Here is a 21,123-nt window from a genome sequence, read left to right as displayed (position 1 = left end):
AACAGCTGGGCTAGGGGCCAAGTGCTGCTGTCAGCGCCTTCTCTGCCTTGGCCTCTCTGTTCCCTCCCTGGCCGCGTCAGGTCTCCACGGGTGGCAGGCAGGCAGCCCGGGATGGGGACCGGGCAGCTGACGCCCCTGGGACAGCACGATGGGAGCCTCCTCCCAACTCCGTCTGAGTCACGGGGGTGGGTCGGAGCTGGGCCCAGCCCAAGCCATCCTGGAGACCAGGAGGAAGAGGAGAGAGGGCCACAGGCAGGTCACCTTGAGGTTCAGGTGGGCAGAGCTTGGAGTGGCTGGGCTTGGGGCACGGCGGGCCTCTGTCCACCCTGGACTGTTTGGGAAGAGCTGGTGGGGGGACTAGCTCCCCTCCCACATGGGCCTCTTCTCCCATGCCCCTCCACGCTCAGCCTCTTCGCATCCTTTGGCAGGGCCTGGGCTTTCCCAAGGCTCCAGACAGCTTGGCTTTGCCCAATACCCTGGGTCTGGCTGTGGGGATGCTGGTTTGAGCAACTCAGATGTGAGGATAGGGGCTGGAGTTGCATGTAGGCACACACACGTGTAGAACACACAGAACACACATGTACTTAAACATGCCAACTATAACATAGATGGGTGCTTGCATTCTCTGGGATGTCCCCGACACACATACCTTCCTGCCCCTGCACACACAAGCACATGCCCCCGAAGCTGATGCAGAGGACGTGTGCACACGCGCCTGCCCGCCCATCCTTGACTTGTACACGTCAGCACACCCCTGCATCAGCACTCTGAGCCACCTGTGTGTGCACCTGCATACAAATGCGGTCCCCAGACATTCCCCGATGAGGAAGAGGGACTGCATTGGAGCAGACGAGGGTTCTCTGACAGGCCGGCTCGTGGATCTCTGAAGTGGCAAGCATGGAGACTCGGCCTCTTCCAGTACAACCTTGCTACCTGTGGGAGGGGAAACTGAGGCTCAGAGAGGGGTAGAACTGGCCTGGGATCCCCCAGGAGCCAGTGGCCGTGCTGGACGGGGGCCAAGGTCTCTGCAGCCCTGAGACCTTTGCATAGCACAGCCAAGGACAGAGCTGCTGTCTGCTGCCTGGGCACCCCTTCCTGCCTGGCTGCCTTGTGGTGCCCCCAAGCTGGTTCTGTAGCGACTGGGGAGGTGTGAGCCTGGCCTCAGAGGTCCAGATCATCACAGCCTCTGATGGCCTCTGACGTAGCATCAGCCTTTAGTCCAGCGGGCCATCTGGACTCCCTGTTCACCTATCACCATCCCCACCTCGGACTTCTTGTGGGATTAACCCCCGACCCCTCACCCATTTCCCTTTCCTCTGTTCCAGCCCTCTGGGGCTCAGTGCTGTAAATTGGTTTTGCTTTAATGGCAAAGGTTTAAATTTTTTTTTAAGCACTCTTCTCTTTCCTGGACTTTCCCAGGAGGAGGAGGAGGAGAGAGAGGCAGAGGTGGCTCTTGTGAACAGTCTCTGGCTTTCTGTGTCCAAACGTGGATTTCTCAGACCTCATCTTCACATCCCTGGCCCCTGCCCAGGGCAGAGGGAGGGAGAACTGGGCTGTTCCCATAGTTGAGAGCACAGGGTGGGGGCTGGGGCTGAGGTCTGTCCAAGGGGCTGTGTCCAGCTTGCTGGGCAACCTGGCCAAGTCTCCCCTGAGTCTGTGGCTCAGTTTCCCCACTTGGAAAGTGAGGGTTGATGCAGATGGTCTGCCGCTGTGACCCCCGTGGTGCCTCCCCTGCCCTTCTGCATCTTGCAAATGGGCGGCATGAGTCCCCTGCTTCTTCTCCCCCATCAAGTGGGCCAGAAAGGGACCCACTTTGTAGCTGTGGAAATAGAAGATGTTGTGGTTTACCTAGCTAATTGGGCTGAGCAGTTGTGGGGCTCCAGGCCTCCTGACATCTGACTTGGGCTCAGTGCCTTAGGAACCTTGATCCTGGTCTAGGCTGTGCTATGTTAGTTGGGGCAACTCCCTGTCCCTCTCTGGGCCTCTGACTCTCCAGCCATGGAAGGGGAGCTGGGCCTCAGCCGTGCTACTCCAGAAGGCTGGCCCCCTCCCAAGGATCAAGGTGCTCCAGGGAAGGCACTTTGGGAAGATGATACTGGGGTACCTCTGGCCTCCCAGAGTCTGGCCTTTCTTTCCCTTGGCTCTGCTCTGCCTGTGAGATGAGGTCTCCCCACGCCCTCCCACTGTGGGAGACCCCGGCTTCTGTGTCCCTCTGCTTGGGGGGCCCCACAGCTGCGATATTCTGCTCCCCCTCCCCCATGGAAGCTGAGACAAGGGAATTATTTTTGGAACAAGAGCAGTTACACAACAAATGAATTATTTATCTTTGGGCATGGAGGAAAGGAGGCATTTTGCTGGGCTTCTTAATTCTTTTTGTGGATTCAGGGGTGCCCGCTTGGGTACGTGGACACGTGTGTATGGGCCTGCTTGTCGTGTGCAGATTGTAGGTGTGCTTGTGTGTGTGTGTGTGTAGCTGTCTGCGTGTGCATGCCATGGAGGTCTGGCTCATGTGGGGGCATGTGGGTCTCTGTGCAGGTAGGGGGATGAGCATGGCCTCCAGGGTGCTGGGGGTGTGTGTCTGCACCTGTGCTCACCTGTTCTCTCCAGTGTCCCTTCTGTGCCCATGATCCTCAGTCTCTGCCCCTACTCCCCCTATTCTTCTGTCTCCCTCCGTCCCAGCCCCTGGGCCCCCTCCTGCCTCTTGCCACCCACCAACCCCCTGCTTCTTTGATGTAACAGGGACCCCCAGAGTGCTTGCTGGCACAGAGGCCCTGGGACGGGGTGTGGAGAAGGGATGGGGGGCCTGCGCTGGAGCTTGACGGGGCTGCTCTGAGCCCTCACACTGATCTGTCACCCGCTCTCGATGCTGCCTTTCAGGAACCAGGTGCAGATGGGTCTCTTCCTTCCTGCCCCCATCTCTCTCACTCCTGGCTCAGTGCGGCACTCTCCAGCCTCCTGTGGGAATCATCTGAAGTTCTGAGCCCGGAAGCCAAGGAGGAAGACGAGGAGGAGGAGGAGGAGGAGGAGGAGGAGGAGGGAGAGGAAGTCAAGCCCTGAGAACCCTTGCACCTTCCTAGCAGGAGACAAGGAGCAACGCTGCGGTGGGGAGCAGGCTGTGGGGCCCCCACCCCCAGCCCTAGCCAGGCCTAGTGCCTGCTGTAGCACCCTAGAAGATCCCCAGCAGTTGGCACTAGCTGTACCCACCTTGCCTGGGGCCCCCGTGCTGGGGGTCGCCCCCAAGATGGTGGCGGCCCCAGGGAGGACTGTACTGCCAGCCCCAGCCTCTGGCCGCTAGGCACCCCCTGCCTTGCCCTGGCCCCTCACTCCGAGGCCAGCGCCATGCTGCGCCTGGGGCTGTGCGCGGCGGCGCTGCTGTGCGTGTGCCGGCCGGGTGCCGTGCGTGCCGACTGCTGGCTCATTGAGGGCGACAAGGGCTACGTGTGGCTGGCCATCTGCAGCCAGAACCAGCCGCCCTACGAGACCATCCCGCAGCACATCAATAGCACCGTGCACGACCTGCGGCTCAACGAGAACAAGCTCAAAGCCGTGCTCTACTCCTCGCTCAACCGCTTTGGGAACCTCACCGACCTCAACCTCACCAAGAACGAGATCTCCTACATCGAGGACGGTGCCTTCCTGGGCCAGTCGAGCCTGCAGGTCCTGCAGCTGGGCTACAACAAGCTCAGCAACCTGACGGAGGGCATGCTGCGAGGCATGAGCCGCCTGCAGTTCCTCTTTGTCCAGCACAACCTCATCGAGGTGGTGACGCCCACCGCCTTCTCCGAGTGCCCGAGCCTCATCAGCATCGACCTGTCCTCCAACCGCCTCAGCCGCCTGGACGGTGCCACCTTTGCCAGCCTCGCCAGCCTGATGGTGTGTGAGCTGGCCGGCAACCCCTTCAACTGTGAGTGCGACCTCTTCGGCTTCCTGGCCTGGCTGGTGGTCTTCAACAACGTCACCAAGAACTACGACCGCCTGCAGTGTGAGTCGCCGCGGGAGTTTGCCGGCTACCCGCTGCTGGTGCCCCGGCCCTACCACAGCCTCAACGCCATCACCGTACTCCAGGCCAAGTGTCGGAATGGCTCGCTGCCCGCCCGGCCCGTGAGCCACCCCACGCCCTACTCCACCGACGCCCAGAGGGAGCCAGACGAGAACTCGGGCTTCAACCCCGACGAGATCCTTTCGGTGGAGCCGCCGGCCTCGTCCACCACGGATGCGTCGGCAGGGCCAGCCATCAAGCTGCACCACGTCACGTTCACCTCGGCCACCCTGGTGGTCATCATCCCACACCCCTACAGCAAGATGTACATCCTCGTGCAGTACAACAACAGCTACTTCTCCGACGTCATGACCCTCAAGAACAAGAAGGAGATCGTGACGCTGGACAAACTGCGGGCGCACACTGAGTACACCTTCTGCGTGACCTCGCTGCGCAACAGCCGCCGCTTCAACCACACCTGCCTGACCTTCACCACGCGGGACCCCGTCCCCGGAGACTTGGCGCCCAGCACCTCCACCACCACCCACTACATCATGACCATCCTGGGCTGCCTCTTTGGCATGGTTATCGTGCTGGGAGCCGTGTACTACTGCCTGCGCAAGCGGCGCATGCAGGAGGAGAAGCAGAAGTCTGTCAACGTCAAGAAGACCATCCTGGAGATGCGCTACGGGGCTGATGTGGATGCCGGCTCCATTGTGCACGCCGCCCAGAAGCTGGGCGAGCCTCCCGTGCTGCCCGTATCTCGCATGGCCTCCATCCCCTCCATGATCGGGGAGAAGCTGCCCACCGCCAAGGGGTTGGAGGCCGGGCTGGACACACCCAAGGTAGCCACCAAAGGCAACTATATCGAGGTGCGCACAGGCGCCGGCGGGGACGGTCTGGCTCGGCCCGAGGATGACCTCCCGGACCTCGAGAACGGCCAGGGCTCGGCTGCAGAGATCTCCACCATTGCCAAGGAGGTGGACAAGGTCAACCAGATCATTAACAACTGCATCGATGCTCTCAAGCTGGACTCGGCCTCTTTTCTGGGAGGCGGCAGCAGCAGTGGGGACCCCGAGCTGGCCTTCGAGTGCCAGTCCCTCCCTGCAGCTGCTGCCGCCTCCTCAGCCACTGGCCCCGGGGCCCTGGAGCGGCCCAGCTTCCTTTCGCCTCCCTACAAGGAGAGCTCCCACCACCCACTACAGCGCCAGCTGAGCGCCGACGCGGCCGTGACCCGCAAGACCTGCAGCGTGTCGTCCAGTGGTTCCATCAAGAGCGCCAAGGTCTTTAGCCTGGACGTGCCCGACCATCCGGCCGCCACAGGGCTGGCTAAGGGCGACTCCAAGTACATCGAGAAGGGCAGCCCCCTCAACAGCCCGCTGGACCGGCTCCCGCTGGTGCCGGCGGGCAGCGGCGGGGGCAGCGGCGGGGGCGGGGGCATCCACCACCTGGAGGTGAAGCCGGCCTACCACTGCAGCGAGCACCGGCACAGCTTTCCCGCCCTGTACTACGAGGAGGGTGCCGACAGCCTGAGCCAGCGCGTGTCCTTCCTCAAGCCGCTGACCCGCTCCAAGCGTGACTCCACCTACTCGCAGCTCTCCCCCAGACACTACTACTCAGGGTACTCCTCCAGCCCCGAGTACTCATCCGAGAGCACGCACAAGATCTGGGAGCGCTTCCGGCCCTACAAGAAGCACCACCGGGAGGAGGTGTACATGGCCGCCGGTCACGCCCTGCGCAAGAAGGTCCAGTTCGCCAAGGACGAGGATCTGCATGACATCCTTGATTACTGGAAGGGGGTCTCCGCCCAGCAGAAGCTGTGACCCCCCCCTTCCTCCCTGGTGAGGTCGGAGCCAGAGGGCTGGGGGCCTTTTGGGGGAAGGGTCCAGGCGGCCAGGGCGGGGAGCAGACTCGGGGGCCAAGGCCCAGGAGAGGACGCACATGCAGACCCGCACGCACGCACGCACACACACACCTGACCACCACCCGACTGTGAACAAACCAACATCCGACAATAACGGACAGGAAAACAGAGACACATTTTCCTTAAAGTTTACAAACTGATACCGAAACCAGTCGTCTTTACTGTGCTGCCCAGGGACTCTGCTGGGGTGTGCAGGGCCGGGGGGCTGGCGGGGGGAGGAAGGAAGCCAAGAGAGGGTGTGGGGTCTGGGGGGTCTGGGGCTAGAAACAGGTGTGGGGGTCAAGAAAGCTGGAGTAGAGAGGGACTGAAGCCCCTCTAGGGCAGGGAGAGGGTCCCTTCCCAAGCTGGGAGTCAAGTCACCTGCAGATTTAGCATTAGACATCGGGCAATGTCTCCTTCCACTTTAGAGAGGGGGGGAAACTGAGGCCCAGAGAAGGGAGTTGACAACCCCAGGGTCACACAGCAGCTTAGCCTCAAGTCCCCCAACTTCCCAGCCCAGTGCTGTCCCGGAACCCCCTGCAGCTCTCTTGTGGACCCCTGCCCGCCCTGTGCCCACCCCACATCCCTTTCCGAAGCTGTGGTCCCTTGGGGCTGAGGGACTTGGGAATCAGGCAGGTGCTTTTTCTTCCTAGAAAGCCACATGGCAGTGCCCCCAGAGTGTGCAGCTGTGATTCAGAATCCTGGGGGGCTTTTGACCCCTATGCCGGCACCCGGGAGAAGGGAGAGGGTCCTGTTGACGGGAAAGGAGCCGAGGCAGGGCGACATTCCACCAGCCCACTTCAAGTGTCTTCCACGTGGCCTGGGAAGAGTGGGGCGTGTGGCGGGCAGGCCAGCTCCCAGGACGTCTCAGGTGCAGGCTCCCGGCCCCAGCTTCTCTGGTCCTCCGAGACCCCTGCCCACCGCAGAAGGGCAGCGGTGCACTGTGATGCCTGGAGGGCTGCAGGGAGGAGCTGTCATGGGGGACTTCCTGCCTGTCCCCATGGCCTGTGTCCCCACCTGCCCGACCCCATCGTGGGATCTCGGCTCCTATCTCAGCCGCCCACCCGGGGAAGGAGGGCTTTCTCACCCATCCCCTCTGGGCTGCTCATCCAGGCCTGGCCCCCTGGCCAGAGGGGCTCCCATGTTTCCGTGGCAATGGCCACTTCCCTCTTTCTGACCCCCCCACCCAACATCAAACAAAGCACAAACAGTGAGGCCCCCACCCGAGAGAGGGTTGAGGAGCAGGCTGGGTTCGTGGCGCCCCAGCCCCTCCCAGCCAGCCTCTGTCACCATGGTAACCCTGTGCCTGGCAGTTGGTGCCCAGAGTGACCGTTGGGCTCTGGGGTTCTCTGTCCATGTAGGCGGTGGCAGAGGGTGGTGAGGGAGGGCCAGCCTGGCAGCAGCTCCTGGGGCCAGCTCTTTTGGGAGGCAAATCTGCGGTCCTGAGACTGGGGTCTTGACCAGTCAGGATGCTGATGGGCCGGAGTCCATCATCCTTCACCTCTGGGTGGGAGCTGGCCCAGCGGGGTGTGGGGACGCCTCTACTAGCAGCTTTGCCCGCCTAGCAACATGTCGCTTGGCTGCCACCCACCTCAGCTTGGGGGGCCCCGGCTCTCCCCACGCCCCTGCCAGAGACCCCCAGTCTAGGGCCTGTGGCCCACATGGGTTTCCTGAGATTTGGGGAGTGTGACTGAGGGGCGAGGGTAGGCACTGGAATGGGTCCAAGACCGGCACTGTTGGTGGGCAGGGGCTCTGACCAGGAAAGCTAGTGCCATCCCCTGGGGACCCCAACGACCTTCCTGCTGGGGGCAGGGGGTGAGGGAGGACAGCAGAGGGCTAGGAGGCTCGGGCTCAGCTGAGTACCTCTCTCACACCAACTTTGGGGTTAACGAAGCCCAGGGCTCACTTTGAGGGTGACATTTGCAAAGAAAAGACTGTTCTCCTGGGGCGAGGAGGGGAGGGGGCGGCATGGATACGCGGAGCAGACCTCCTCCCCCGGCCCCCAAAACCTGCCCCCCAACCCCTCCTCACACCCCCTTGGCACAACTGAGAAAAGCAAGCAGGCAGAGAAGCCAGGGGTGTGAGGAAGCAGACTCCCTGTTATATTTGCATGACGATTTTACTGTATTTTTCTGAGCAAACATCTGTCGTGTATGTGCCAGTTTGTCCAGACTCCCCCGCCCCCTCTCTGATGCCCTGCTTTCCCACATTCTGTCTGTTGTGATCTGACGAGCAGCTCTTGAAACCCAGGGAGGGGTCAGCTCTGCAAAAACAGACCCAAAACAGGTGCCACCAAGACACAGCCCTGCCCCACACCCACCTCCTGTGTTTCTGAGCATTGGGCCCATGTGCCACCTCCCTTCCTCCCTCCCTCTCTCCACTGCCACCTCCCTTGTCCCCAGTTCCTTCCCCTCCTCCATGCCAGGGAGGGCAGCCCCAGGGAAGCCTCCTCAAGGGCTCTTGTCCCGGTGGAAGGGACTGTCTGTCCGTCCCGCTTGTTCCCGTTTTGTAGATGAGGAAGTCAGGGCTCCCAGACGGGCCTGGTGAATTGGCTGGCCAGCTGGGGTGGAGGATCAGTCACACTGCTGAGTGTAGGAGGCCAGGAGCTTGGGGCTTCGTGGGGGGCTTCAGGGAGAGGGTGGGGGCTTTGAGAAAGGAACCCGTGGGAAGAAGGAGCACGCCTGGGCTGGGCCCCAGGGAGGGTTCCCAGCAGCAGGAGTTAGGGGCCTGCGCTTGCCATTTCCCCATCCTTTCTGCGTGAAGATATTTAGGAAACCTCAGACTCTCTGACTGCAGGGACAGGGGCCCTTCCAAAGAGCAGGACTCTGATGATCCAGGAGGGGAACTGGCCTTGAAGACCCAGTTCATGTGGTTCTTTGTGAGGCAGAGCGGGGTCTAAGACTCGGGTCTCTGGCCTCCCAGCCAGGCCAGAGCCCCAACTGCTCAGCTTGGGGAGAGCCCACCCGGAGGCTGGCCTGCATCTGTGTCCCACGTCCTGCTCAGGATGAGTTTTTCCCAGGCGGGAGGGAAGTATTCACAAAATGTTGCCATCCAAGGTCTGGGTTTGTGATGATGATGAGCATGGTGGAGCTGGGCTGTGGTCTGGGGCAGGCCAGCAGGGCAGACACCAGGAAAAGAGGGCAGGGGGGGCCACAGGGAGGGAGGGGAGATGGAGGCCCGGTGGAGCGAGGGATGTGTGGGTGCCACGCCCTGGACCTCTGCGGGGAGGCCTCCTGCCTTGGGCCGGAACAAGGTCACACCTGGGCTTGCCTGCCTCTGTTGGAGAATCTCCTCTGAAGCTGTTTCTGGGAAGTAGCACAATGGGTCTGCTCCTTCCTGGGAGGGCACAGCAGGTGCAGCTAACCCTCTGTTGGAGCTTATGGCCTTCCAGTAGCAAAACACAGAGGTCTGGCATGAAGGCAAGAAAGCCTGGTTGGTGGGGAAACCTCGTCACGGGTCCCGGCCTTGCTTTTCCCCGCGGCAGGAAGAGTCTCTCTCTGCCCACCAAAGAATCCCTCACCTGGGCTCCCCTCCTGAGGCAGTGCAGGAGGCCTGTGGGAGCAGCCTGTGTCCAGGCTGGGGAGCCCGTGTCTGGGTAGGTCTGGGAAAAGGGCTGTCAGGGGAGCGAGGAGGGTGGGAGTAAAGAGACCTGCTTGGGAAGGCCAGGCCTGGATCGTCCCCGGGAGGCAGCTGGGGCAGCAGCAGTGGGGAGTATCAGGCTGGCCGAGAGTCACCCATGTTCTCAACTGGAAGTTGGTCGCCTGCCCCACTCCCTCCTGGAAATGTAACAGCGGGGTGAACAGAAGTGCAGAGACGGAAAGGAGAGGAAAGGAGACCTAGAGCTGACAAACTCGGTTGTGACAGTGCTGAGGCCGGGATGGCATCAGGAATTAAGGACACCAGTGACAGGTCCTAGCTTATAAGGGGCCTAAGTGCAGGGAAGGGATAAGACACAATGCTCCCTAGTGACTGGCGCCTTGCAGAAAATTAAAATAGGGTGATGGGGGAGGGGCAAGGCTGGTCAGGGAGCATCCTGTGTGGGATGGGGGGACAGGGAGCCAAGCTGTGAATGACAAGAGGAGCCAGAAGGGTGGGTGGGTGGGTGGGTGTGAAGACGAGACTAGAGGGAGTGGGGTTGCAGTGGCTGCCTGTCCCCCAAGCACCGCCTCTGTCCCCTACTACCCTGCCCCTGCCCATTCCTGGCCCAGCAGAGCCCCCTTTCCATGAGTGTGGATGGGCGGGGCAAGCCGTCGGGGAGCCTGGGGAAGCTCAGCCCTGAGGGGCTTACTTTGCCCGTGGAAGCCAGTGTGAAGGTTAGGGCAGCCTTGCCTGGCTGGCCCCATTGCCACCTCTCCTGTCTGACAAGGTGGCTGCTCCAGAGGTGGCTGAGCCCCAGGAGAGGGGACCTCCTCTAACTCTCATGCTCAGATTCCATCCTGACACACTCCTTCCCTGACCCTGGGTGCCCCTTCTAAGACAAAACCAGGGTCCATACTGCTTGCCTCCAGAGGCGGCTTCAGGCCTCACTAAAGGTCAGGCAGTCCTGCTGAGCAGGAGGGAGAGGAAGGGGGTCCTGTAGGACGGGCAGGATGGTCTGGGCCTGCTCCTCCTTCCTCTGCCCCTCTGCCACTCCACACTCCAGCACAGGGCTGGGACAGGGGCTTGGAGTTCCTGCAGTGGCGGCCACACTTCCCTCCCTCCCTCCCTTCCTCAGGAGCCGCCAGTCCCCAAGTTGGCTGTGGTTGGGCACCTGGTTTGGGTCCTGCAGAGCTGGGCTCAGGCCCTGGGCTCTGAACCTGTGAACCCTTGCTGTGTTACGAAACTTTCCTTCCTCTGAGGGCCTTGAACCCTCTCCTTTTCTTCTTTTGGGGGTGGGGGTTAACTTTATTTTCTCTTCCCTGTATCTGCCTCTCCCTTCCCTCAATTTCCTGTTTTAAAACTGAATGGCACGAAATTGTTTTCCTCAACTCGGAGATTCCTGTATGGAGAGAATCAATTTCTATATTTGCAATAAATTTCTTATTTAAAGCTACGGGGCCATGGTCTATGCTGTATTCCTCCCACATTGCACTGCCATGACGCTCGGTGCCCTTTTCCCCATTTCCCTTCCCACTGGGAGCCCCAGTCATGGGGCTAAGGCTTAGTGGACAGGGTGGGGGTCACTGCCTGCGGTCAAGGAAAAAAGAAGGCGGTCTGCCAGAGAGAGGGAGAGGGGGCCAGCAGGAAACTCAATTCCAGGGTCAGTGTGCACCCAGACACTGCGCCGTCTGATGGGTTGGGGGCCTGATGACCTCCCTTCCCAAAAGCCTAGACATCCCTCTGTTGTGTGCTGTCACTCGATTTTCTGCTGCCCTGGCCTCCCACACCCGGGATTCAGAGCCCTGTCAGAGAGGCAGGGCCATGTGGGGGCATTACTAGACTTCAGCTGCTTCCCGGGAGAAAAGCCCCCCATCAGTGACCACGGTCTCTGAGGTCAGCCTCTTGCTGCCCCTGTCTATGGTGGGTCCAGTGTCTCTGTGGGACCCACTGGGCCTCCTCCACGCCTGGCCTGGGCAGCCTGTCCTGGGCCCCTGGCCCACCCCTCCTCTGGTGCCCTCCCGCCATCTGCTGCGGTTCTTCATGGCTGGGAAGCGATCCTCTCTGGTCCTTCGGGGCTTCTGCTGCTTCTCAGATTTAGGAGATGCCTTGTCTCTCTGGTCAGGCTGAGGCACTCAGGTCAGCGTCCAGTGGACTGCAGGCTGAACCGCCCAAGCCTCTGCTCGGGGCCAGTCTGGGGCCTACCTGCTAGCCCCAGCCTCCTTGCTTCCCAGAGGCAGAGCCCACCTACCATTTTCCCAGACTCTTGTTCTCCAATTGCTACGAAACTCTCCTCCACGAAAGCCTGTATTCAGCCTGGATTGCTATGGGGTATTCTGGACTCTGTGGGTCTGAGCTATTCCCTGATATCACCCTGTGGCCTTCAGCCCAGCCCTAGGTCTTCAGGAGCTGTGTCCTAGTGGCTCTGGTGGCCCACAGGGCTTTCCTGCCCCCCTGCCTGCCTCCATTAAGAGTTGGTTGTACTCTGGGGACCCTCTGGGATGGCCCAGGGCCTGGGGCCGCTCACCTTCTACTGCCTGAGCCCCAGCTGGACGCCTGTCCCTTCCACGTGCCCTCACACAGGCTCAGTGCAGCCGTCCCAAGGGGGCCACAGCCAGCCAGGGTCCCTCCTTTGCTCTGCTTCCTGCCAGTCCCAGGCCTCCTTCGTGAGGGAGGTTTCACTGTGAGCCTGCACCAAGGGAGGAGGAGGAGGACGGTGGGACACATTTGTGGGAGGCGCAGAGAGGTAGGGCCTGGGCCCTGACAGGCTCTGTCCCCTCAGGCCCCTCAGCTGGGGCTGCCCTATGGTCCCCGGACCCAACCCTGGGCTCCAGGAGCCCCTGCTCAGCTGCCTGCCTGTCGCACTGGGTCCCTGTTTTCTTCATCAGCAGGAGCTGTTTCTGTTGAAGGACTCATTCTACTCCTCAGGAAACTTAAGAGGTGATCAAAGGGGTCAACGAACCTCGAGAGTCCAAGTCCAGGCCCTTCCCCTCAGCTGCCTCTGCCGGCCTTGGGCTGGGGGAGCCCTGTGGCCCCTGGGAGTGTGGAAGTGTCCTCCGGGATGGCTTTGCTCCGGTGGGTGGAGATCCGGCAACAGTTCTTAGGCTTAGAAAGTCACTTTTATTCCCTAATGTTACAAATGCAAACACCCTTGCCTTTTCATTTCAACTCAGAAGTGATTCTGTTTCTAAACAGAGCACATTTAACATGCATGTTTTGGGGCTTTGGGCTAATTTTGGTCCTGTTTACAAATGCAATTAGGGAAATGTCCTTAGCTACTCCCCGCTTCATAAGTGTCGCGTATCTGCTTCCCTTTCTGCACACTTCAATTATTTGAAAACCGAGCAAACGCCGTGAGCCCACACATTTTCACCGGTGCTTGCATCTTAACATGTGAGCCATTACTTAAAAGAAAACCCCAATTCTGAATTAATGCCTTACTTGCAAATAATCAGTTTATTCGTAAGTGCTCAAGGACATTCGCAAATACCTGAAACGCTACACGTGCTCAGATATCGTGACACAAAATATAGATGACAAAAAGGTGAACTTTCATGGCATAAACGTGTTATTTTTTCTGGGGTGAAGGGGTGTTCCTCCATCTGTTGGACGAATGTCTCTAAGTGTGGCTGTACCTCGTGGATAATGTTGGGTTCAGGCTTCTCTGCTGGCTGGGCCCCAGGAACTGGATATTTCAGGTGGGACAAGGACCTGGGTGCTGCAAACAGGACCATAGTTGCCAGGGGCACCCCACTTTGGCACGTTCTGTGTCATGCCCTCTAAGTGGGGTGCACTTCTCAAGCCTCGCCCAAGGGCTAAACTGCTGGTATATAAGTTCTTCCTCCTTTTCCTTCCTTCTTTTTTTCCAAGATATCTGTAACTCAAACTTCACCGACCACCGGCCCTCTCCAGCCCGGGCAGGCTTCCTTCTCTAGCTTCTTTGATGTTCTTCCCCGCAGCAGGGCTCCAGGGAAGCTAGGTGTCCTCAGCACAGTTCCCTGGTCTCTGCTGGGGCTTGGTTTGAAGGAGTTGACAGTTCCAAGGTGACTCTGGTGACCCTTGTAGCTACTGGGCCAGGAACTTCCTTTTCTGTTTAGTTGTTTAGCTGAATATTCCCCTCCCTCAAGCTCCCCCTGCCTCAACAACTATAAATGTTTTCCAGAGGTGAGCCTAAAATGAGCCCTTGTGGCTGCAGGGTTTGGGGGATCACTGGATCTCACTGGTTCTCAGGGTCTCCTTTATTTAGTCTCTGAAGGCAGGGTTCCAGGCACTCAGCCCCAGGCCCAGTGTCTCAGAGGCTGGCCTCCTCCTGCTCCTGTCATTGGTGGGTCCAGGGTCACTGTGGGACCCACTGGTTCTCTCCTCTGGGCTCAGCCTGGGCAGCCTGTCCTGGACCCCTGCCCCACCTGCTCCTCTGGTGCCCTCCCACCATCTGCTGTTCATTTTTGTCACAGCCCGGAAGCATTCCTGCTCCTTCTCAGATTTAGGAGGTACCTTGTCTCTCTGGTCAGGCTGAGGCACTCAGGTCAGCATCCAGTGACCTCAGGCTGAACTGCCCAAGCCTTTGTTCGGGGGCAGCCTGGGGCCCACCGCCCAGCCCCAGCCTCCTTGCTTCCCAGAGGCAGAGCCCACCTGCCCTTTTCTCAGACTCCTGTTCTCCAACTGCTACCAACCCCTCTTCCAGGAAGGCCCCTGGATTTGGCCTGGATTGTTATGGCTTGCTTTAAATGAACTCCCTTGTCCTAAGCTATTCCCTGTGACTGGTGTCACAGCGTGGCACTCATCCCTGGCCTGTGTCTACAGGAGCTGTGTCCTGCTGGCTCTGGTGGCCCATGGGGTTTCCTGCTCCCTTCCTGCCTCCATGGGAGTTGGCTGAACTGTGGGGACCCTCTGGGATGACCCAGGGCTTGGCCCCTCACTGTTTTCCTGCCTGGGCCCCAGCTGGCCCCTGTCCCCTCTGAGTGCCCTCACACAGGCCCAGTGCAGCTGTCCCAGTGGGGCTGTGGCCAGGCCAGTCTCTCTCTTGCTCTGCACCCCCGGCTCTTTCCTGGCAGCCCTTGTGCTTCTTCCGGAGCCCCTCATCCCTGAGGCTGCCCCGTGGCCCTGTGCCTGGCCCTGAATCCCAGGCAATCCTCCCTTGCTGCCGCCACCACCCTGGCCTCCCCGAGGCTTCCATCCTATTGGTGTTGTGAGGTTAGGGTCTGCAAGCCCCTTTTTCCAGGAAAGCCTTTACTGTCTAGTCCTTGGCCAAGGGAGGCTTAGGTGATCCCTGCTGGCTCAGGTGTTTTCTTCATATTCTTCCCAGACTGTGGGGCTGGGGAATCCAATTCTGAGTTCTGCTCTTGGTCTCACTTTACCCCAATTCCCCTGGATTGCAGGTCCCATCTGCAGCTTCCTGGTCTCTGCATCTGAGGACTCCCACATGGGGAACTGGTTGGCCCCATGAGCCTCCTTCCCAAGGCCCTTTGTCTGCAAGGAAGGAGACCTGATGCTAGGTGTGCATTGGAGGTGACGGTTCTGGCCTCCCGCTGTCACTGTCTTCCCAACCCTGCACCTGTGGGTCACCCTCTGCTCCTTGTTGTCCAGGCTGCTCTCGGCCCTGCCGTTCTGGGAGCTCAGCCATTGCCCCCTCCCTCAGGCATGTGGGGACATGTCAGGAAGCTAGGGCTTTTCTGCTTTCCCCACCACTCCTGCCTGGAGGGTTTCACGGCTAGACTCCTAGGGCCCAACCTCCAGTTGAGGCCCGGGCTGCCTCTCCGGCATATGCTGGCAGCCCCTTCTCCTTCCCTAGGCCTAGGGCCCCAGCCTGCTGTCAGCGCCAAGCCCACGACACCCATTCTTACCCAGTCCCCACCCCAAATCCCCCTCTCTCTGTTGGCCTCCTCTAAAACTGCCCTCACCTGCATCTCAGACCGCGCATCTTCCGTCCTCCCCGTCCTTGCCAAACTAAGCAAGGTCACGTGTGAAGGAGTTCCCAGGGGGGTGAAACTCCTCCAGCAACTCTCGCCTCCCCTGATTTAGATAACTCCCAGAATCTGCAATGGTCTAGGGGGAGAAAACTCACTCATCTGCCCCTCTCTCTTCTCACTTACTTTTCAAACAAATTGTATGGCTCAATCCCCATATGTTAAGCACCATGGCTGTGAATTTATAGACTTCAGTCCGGTTTCTATTGCAGAGAACAGAATTCTCTGTAACTAATTTAAGCAGGAAAAAAAAATTCACAAGAGGAAACCAAGTGGTGGATGGAATTGTCAGGAGGGCTGCAGACCAGACTCAGGGGTAGCCTTTTCAAACTGACTTTTAAAATAACTACGCAGGACTGACCCACCAAGGGAGCTGCCACCTGTTTCTGCTTCATGGGGCTGCTGAGGGAATGAATCGGTACCTCGGGGGGCCCTGGGCTGCTGTTGCCAGGATCACAGCAGCTGCAGGGGTACCCCTTGGGTGCTGGCAATGGGCTGTGGACTCTCATTCTAGGGCAGGGACGATGGCGGTAGAAGCATCTCTCTGCCTCACTGCTTCCTTCCAAGGCTCTCAGAAGAGCATCTGATCTGTAGAGCCCAAACATCTGTCCTGCAGCTTTAAGAGGGTTTGGCAGGGTTGGGCTGATGCCTCACATCTGGTGTGTGGACCAGGGTGTGTTTATTTCCTCGGCAGCTCCATGAAGTAGGGGCTTTACCCCTGCTCTACACTTTGGGGGAAAGACTCAGAGACAGTAATTGGCCCAAGCAAGCACAGCATACCCAGAAGAGCTGGAAGGAGCTCTAACCCACTTTACTCCCAAACTTTGCCTGTTCCCCTGGAGGTCAGGGCCCAAAGACCCGAGTCCCAGATCGGGCATGGCCCAACGTCCCAACCTTAGGCCAGTGGAGTGTCGAGAGATGCCACCTGTACAATAATCCTGGGGCCTGTGCCGGCCCTGTCAACCCCTGCATCTCGTGTCTTGTTGCTAAAATTCTGGTTCCTGCTGAGATGTCTGCTCCAAATCTTTCCTTTAAAGATGGGAAGAATGAGCCCCCCAAAATAAGGGTTGGAAACGGGGAGAGCCTTCCTGTGGTCATAGGAAGCATGATCAGGGAAGAAGAGGTTACGTCTGGCAGTTATTTAGATTATAACCCAGAGACGGGGGGAGGAGGAGGCAGGTGGCACCAGGATTAAGGGGGTCCCTGCCACAGGGCATATATGTGAGAAGGGTCTGCTCTGACCCTCTCCTAGCCCCCTGCTCTTCCCCACGGGCTGATGAGTCTGCAGGGCCCACGGGCATTCCCAGACACTTTCCACTTGACCATGCTCCAAGCACCTGGGATGCCAGGATTGACTGTCCAGTTGGCCCCGGACATGTTTCCAAGGCCTGTCCTTCCCAGGGTGGACCGTGCCACCCATGTGGGCACTCCTAGGCATGAGAGATGACCAAGGAGTAGCTGCGTGTGGGAGGTGTAGGCAGGGCTTGAATGCGTGGGGTGGCAGTCTCTATGCATGCCTGTGAGACCCTTTAAGTTGTGAGATAGTGCTGTGGGCGAGAAGAGGGTGTCCTATGGGCCGGAGAATGGGGCTTGACTTTCCATAGGCCACCACATTTAGGGAGGCCAGGAATTTGAAATTCAAACCTGTTAGAGGTCATCGTGAAGGTACATTTGTCAAGGCAGGAGGATATTCTAACAGTTTGTTAGCTGAATGGAGAACTTTTCAGTATTTAGACACACAGGATTTGGGCTTCCCTTTGTACTCACGCCCAGGCCTAGGAAATACTAGGGATAGGCCTGGGCTCTGAGTTAATGGGGCCTGGGGGTAGAAGTCAGATGGTGTGGGATGGGCCCACTGTTTGGAGGAAAAGGCTATACATGGAGGAAAAGGGAGAGGAAGTGGTTTTGCTGTTTTGTGTCTGGGCAGGAGCAGGGTGGGCTTGGAAGGCTGCTCACAGAGGAGGGAACGACCCTGCGGGGACTGGGGAGGTGGAAGGGGAGATGGCGTCACTTGGGCCCAGGAGTTGAGTGGGGCTGGCAGGAACTTCTCCTGGGGGTGGGAGGAAGGTGGGATGGAACTGGCAACTCATGGAGGGCAGGATAAGGGGGTAGGGAGGAGGGGGGCTCAGAAAGTCACTTTACATTTGGAGTGTCTTCCTTTTGCCCTTTCCAGCTAAGTAAAAAGCATATTTTTCTCTTTACTGCTGCTCAGCAGCATCTCATGGCCCCATTGCTTTTCCTAGTTTCTTGCTCTGAGGGTCAACTCACAAGTCTTCTTCTACATGCCATGTGAGGCACCAGCCCTGGCTGGCACCTGTGGTGGGAAAGCCTAAAGGAGACAGCACCTCTGTCTCTGGGGAGCTGCCGGGATGTGGCTGTCCCTTAGCTGTTTATAACGGTCCTTTGACATGGTTCAGGTGAGGGTTAAAGGCGGGAAGTAACCCTAGGAGACAGTGGAGCCTCGAGTGGCTCAGTCCCTGCTGTAAACCCCATTCCAGAGGGCACAGTCCACCCATCACATAGCACTAGAGGGGAGCGCCGCGCTTCACTCTGCCCACTGCAGTGAGGCTTCTGGGCCATCTTGGTTCTTCATCTCCATTTTTGTTCTGCCTTGTACGAGCCTCTTCTTTGTTCTGCTTTGTTGCCTCATGGCCAGAGCTGCTCTTGCCTCCTGTTTTGTGTCTGATATTTCAGTTTCTGCAGCTCCCATTTCCTGTCTTTGGCCCCTGCTTTCCCAGCTGCTTTCGGTCTAAGGAGCTTTCTGACTTTAGGACCTGAGAGTGGAAGTCTCCCCACTGACTCCCTGTTGACAGCTGATCATCGACTCCCCTCAGTCTCACCCTGAGCTGTCCCTGTGCCAGCCGGATGGAGGTTGCTAAGCAGGGGTGGCGTGGGGTGTACAGAGGTACGTGGTCCACGGCTCTTAACTGGAGGACTTCACTGAGGGACGAGTCACCCACTGTGTGTCCGCACTGTGCTCACACACAGAGCTTCCAGTGCCACCTCACAAGAGAGCCATGAGGTAGGCATGAGGCCGTTTGAGTTCTGTTGTACTCCAATGAGGAAAAGGTACTTACTTTTACCCTCCGTGTATGGACCAGGGAACTGAGGCCCAACAAATGCTGATTAACGCAGGCAAGGGCTGGCTGCCCACTCTCCCTGACTCCAGGAGCTCATGTCCCCATCCCAGGCCTGGCTGCCTCTACACCCATAAATGCATGATGAGACACCCCAGGCCAGACTATGAACTTAGGGCTGGACTGACCACCAGGGAGTGTGGTTGAGGTGGGAGACGGAGACTCAACTCTAGACCAGATTGAAGAGTGGCTAAAACAGGAAGAGGCCCTGAAAGCACCTCTCTCCAGAAGTCATGCCCACCACCAGCACCATGAGTTTTACCTTTGTCTATAGCAATACCCGGAAGTTACTGCCCCTTTCCATGGCAATGACCTGGAAGTTACAGCTCCTTTTCTAGAAATTTCTAAATAACCTGCCCCTTAATTTGCATGTGATGAAAAGTGGGTATAAACATGACTGCAGAACTCCTCCTGAGCTGCTGCTGTCAGCACACTGCCCGTGGGGTAGCCCTGCTCTGCAGGGGCAATCACAGAGCTGTAACACTATCACCTCTGTAAAGCTGTTTCTTCCACCACCAGCTCACACTTGAATTCTTTCCTGAGCAAAGCCGAGAAACTTCTTAGGGTAGGCTCCAAGTCTGGGGCTCGTCTGCCCTGCCCCATGGTGGTCAGGCAGTACTGGGCCTTGGAGTGCTCCTCCGAACTCCAGAGCCTCAATTTCCACCTCTGTGAAATGGATTGAGCTACTCCTGCTTCACGTAGCTGTATCGAGGCACGGAAGCCTTGAGAGCTGAGGAGCGTTCATACCGTGGCCTGGCCCAGGTAGGGGCCGCTCGAGAATGTTGGCTGAATGAAGGAGGCTGCGACAGTGTTGCAGATACAGCAATGGAAGCAGATGCTTTGGTCAAAAGAAATAGACCCCATAGAGGGCCGAGAGCCAGGAAGGAGAGAGCCAGGAGAACCTCCGAGTGGGGTAAAGGAAGAGGGGAGTGGCAGGGGCCTGGCCAGGGAGGCCAGGGGAAGGCTCCCAAGAAGGACCAGGCCAGTGAGGGCAAAGCCGAGCCCCTTGTGCTGAGGGTCAGTGACAGCGACCTCACACCATCTGAGTCTTTCTGAGATCCAAACTTGGTTACTCTCCTTCCCTTCCTCATTTGGACCAGATGATTGCGTTTTACAAATTATATTTTCAATTCCCTGCCGGGTGGCCTTAATCCAGGTCTCCATCTCTCTCTTGGATTCCTGCCACAGCTGGAGACAGTCACGGAGGTGCTAAAGTGTCGACTCACTGATTCCCTACTTAGTGCACTCCCCCAAGCCCCAGGGCTTCCAATACCAACATATGGATATATGTTGGTGACTTCCAGCCCCACGTCCATCTCAGATAGCCCAGCGGCCCCCAGTCCTCCTGCTTCCTATGTAAGTGGCAGTCCCCTGCCACTCAAGCCAACATGATGGGCCGTTTTTTTGGAGCTAGTCTCCACCTTCCCCTCATCTCATACTGACTTGATCTTGACAACTCATCTCAATCTGGCTGCTCCTCTCCATGTACCCATTCCCCTTGGGGTGCAAGCCACACCACCCTTCACTTGGGGGATGATAGCAGCCAGTGGGCCCACATCTGGCTGTGCCCCTCATCTGTTAGATAATCTCACAGGCTCTTCCAGCCATGCTGAGAAGGCCCATCACCGACTCATGCCTCTGGACCTTGGCACCTGCCAGAAATGGTAGTCCCACTCCCCCTGCCAGTGATTGGCTTAGGAATGGCCACGGGACCCAGTTCCAACCAGGAAGAGGAAATGGGACGAGAAGAATGATCCTCCTTTAGAATCGGTTGTATCTAATCGGGATGCAGATGCCTGAAACTCTGCAGTTTAGGAAACACTAGGGCCCTCTCTGTGAAACATTGAGATGTCCAAGTGGAAAGAGAACAAATCCTGTATTCGAAGAAACGGTGGACCGAGGCTCGCCCCGGCGGACCTGGACCTGCGTGCCTCTGCCTTCTCATGTGAACTGATGTCTCTTGCTTGAACTCACTTGAGTAAAGGTTTTGTGCCACTTGTAGCATGTGCAGATGTAACCATCAACACGGAACTCCTACTTCCTGGAGACTGGGGGGGATTTGAACTTACTGTAGGTTCACGGAGTGACAAAGCTGTTTCTAGGGCCGATGCAGCCGTGGGCCATGTGAATAGGATCACGGGGTCTGGCCTGGGGGAGGTGAGGGTTCTGTGCTCTCCCGTACTGGCCAGACTCCACCTGGAGAGGCTATGGTCAGTCCAGGGTGAATATGCCAGGAGGGAGGTTGACCCGCCAGGTCCACCTGCTGAGAATGATAGCAATTAGAAGGGTTGGGAATCCCTGCCACGCAAGGGATGAGTGAGAAAATGGGGCTTTTTCTCCTGGCAAAGAGAAGGTTGGCTGTGGGACTTCACTTCGGCTTCAGATGCGTGCAGGGTGATGTGTGGAGGGGGTGGCCACGCTCGTGCTGCTGACCAAGAGGAAGTCGATGACAGTACAGAGTTTGTCAACAATTGAGGGCAAATTCAGACTTCAGTGGGTATCATTCTCACCCAGGGAAGTTGGTAAAAACAGAAGGGCCCAGGCCCTGTCTTTCAATAAGCC

General features: G+C 58.4%; 1 protein-coding gene across 2 annotated transcripts in view, besides 2 other annotated features; it reads left to right on the top strand.

Moving 5' to 3' along the window:
- Positions 1-21,123, top strand: part of ELFN2 (extracellular leucine rich repeat and fibronectin type III domain containing 2) — an 86,836-nt gene that overhangs the window by 48,606 nt on the left and 17,107 nt on the right. Inside the window, exon 3 of one of the 2 annotated variants that reach the window (NM_052906.5) lies at positions 2,878-10,914. The exons of the other annotated variant lie outside the window; for it this stretch is intronic. Coding sequence (NP_443138.2) covers positions 3,340-5,802 — 2,463 coding nt within the window. The 5' untranslated portion in view covers positions 2,878-3,339 and the 3' untranslated portion in view covers positions 5,803-10,914. Of the gene's footprint in view, positions 1-2,877; positions 10,915-21,123 lie in introns of those variants that run through there. 2 annotated transcript variants of the gene reach the window in all.
- Positions 46-614: an enhancer, noted in NCBI's record as "H3K4me1 hESC enhancer chr22:37774300-37774868 (GRCh37/hg19 assembly coordinates)". NCBI's record gives its function as "activates a minimal SCP1, AML or CMV promoter by ChIP-STARR-seq in naive H9 embryonic stem cells {active_cell/tissue: H9 hESC(naive)}" and the evidence as "EXISTENCE:reporter gene assay evidence [ECO:0000049][PMID:30033119]".
- Positions 9,870-10,836: an enhancer, noted in NCBI's record as "H3K4me1 hESC enhancer chr22:37764078-37765044 (GRCh37/hg19 assembly coordinates)". NCBI's record gives its function as "activates a minimal SCP1, AML or CMV promoter by ChIP-STARR-seq in primed H9 embryonic stem cells {active_cell/tissue: H9 hESC(primed)}" and the evidence as "EXISTENCE:reporter gene assay evidence [ECO:0000049][PMID:30033119]".

Source organism: Homo sapiens, chromosome 22 (assembly GCF_000001405.40).
Source record: "Homo sapiens chromosome 22, GRCh38.p14 Primary Assembly".
Classification (NCBI taxonomy): Eukaryota; Metazoa; Chordata; class Mammalia; order Primates; family Hominidae; genus Homo; species Homo sapiens.
Note: the sequence above shows the minus strand (reverse complement) of the source record. Positions and strands in the feature narration are given on the sequence as shown.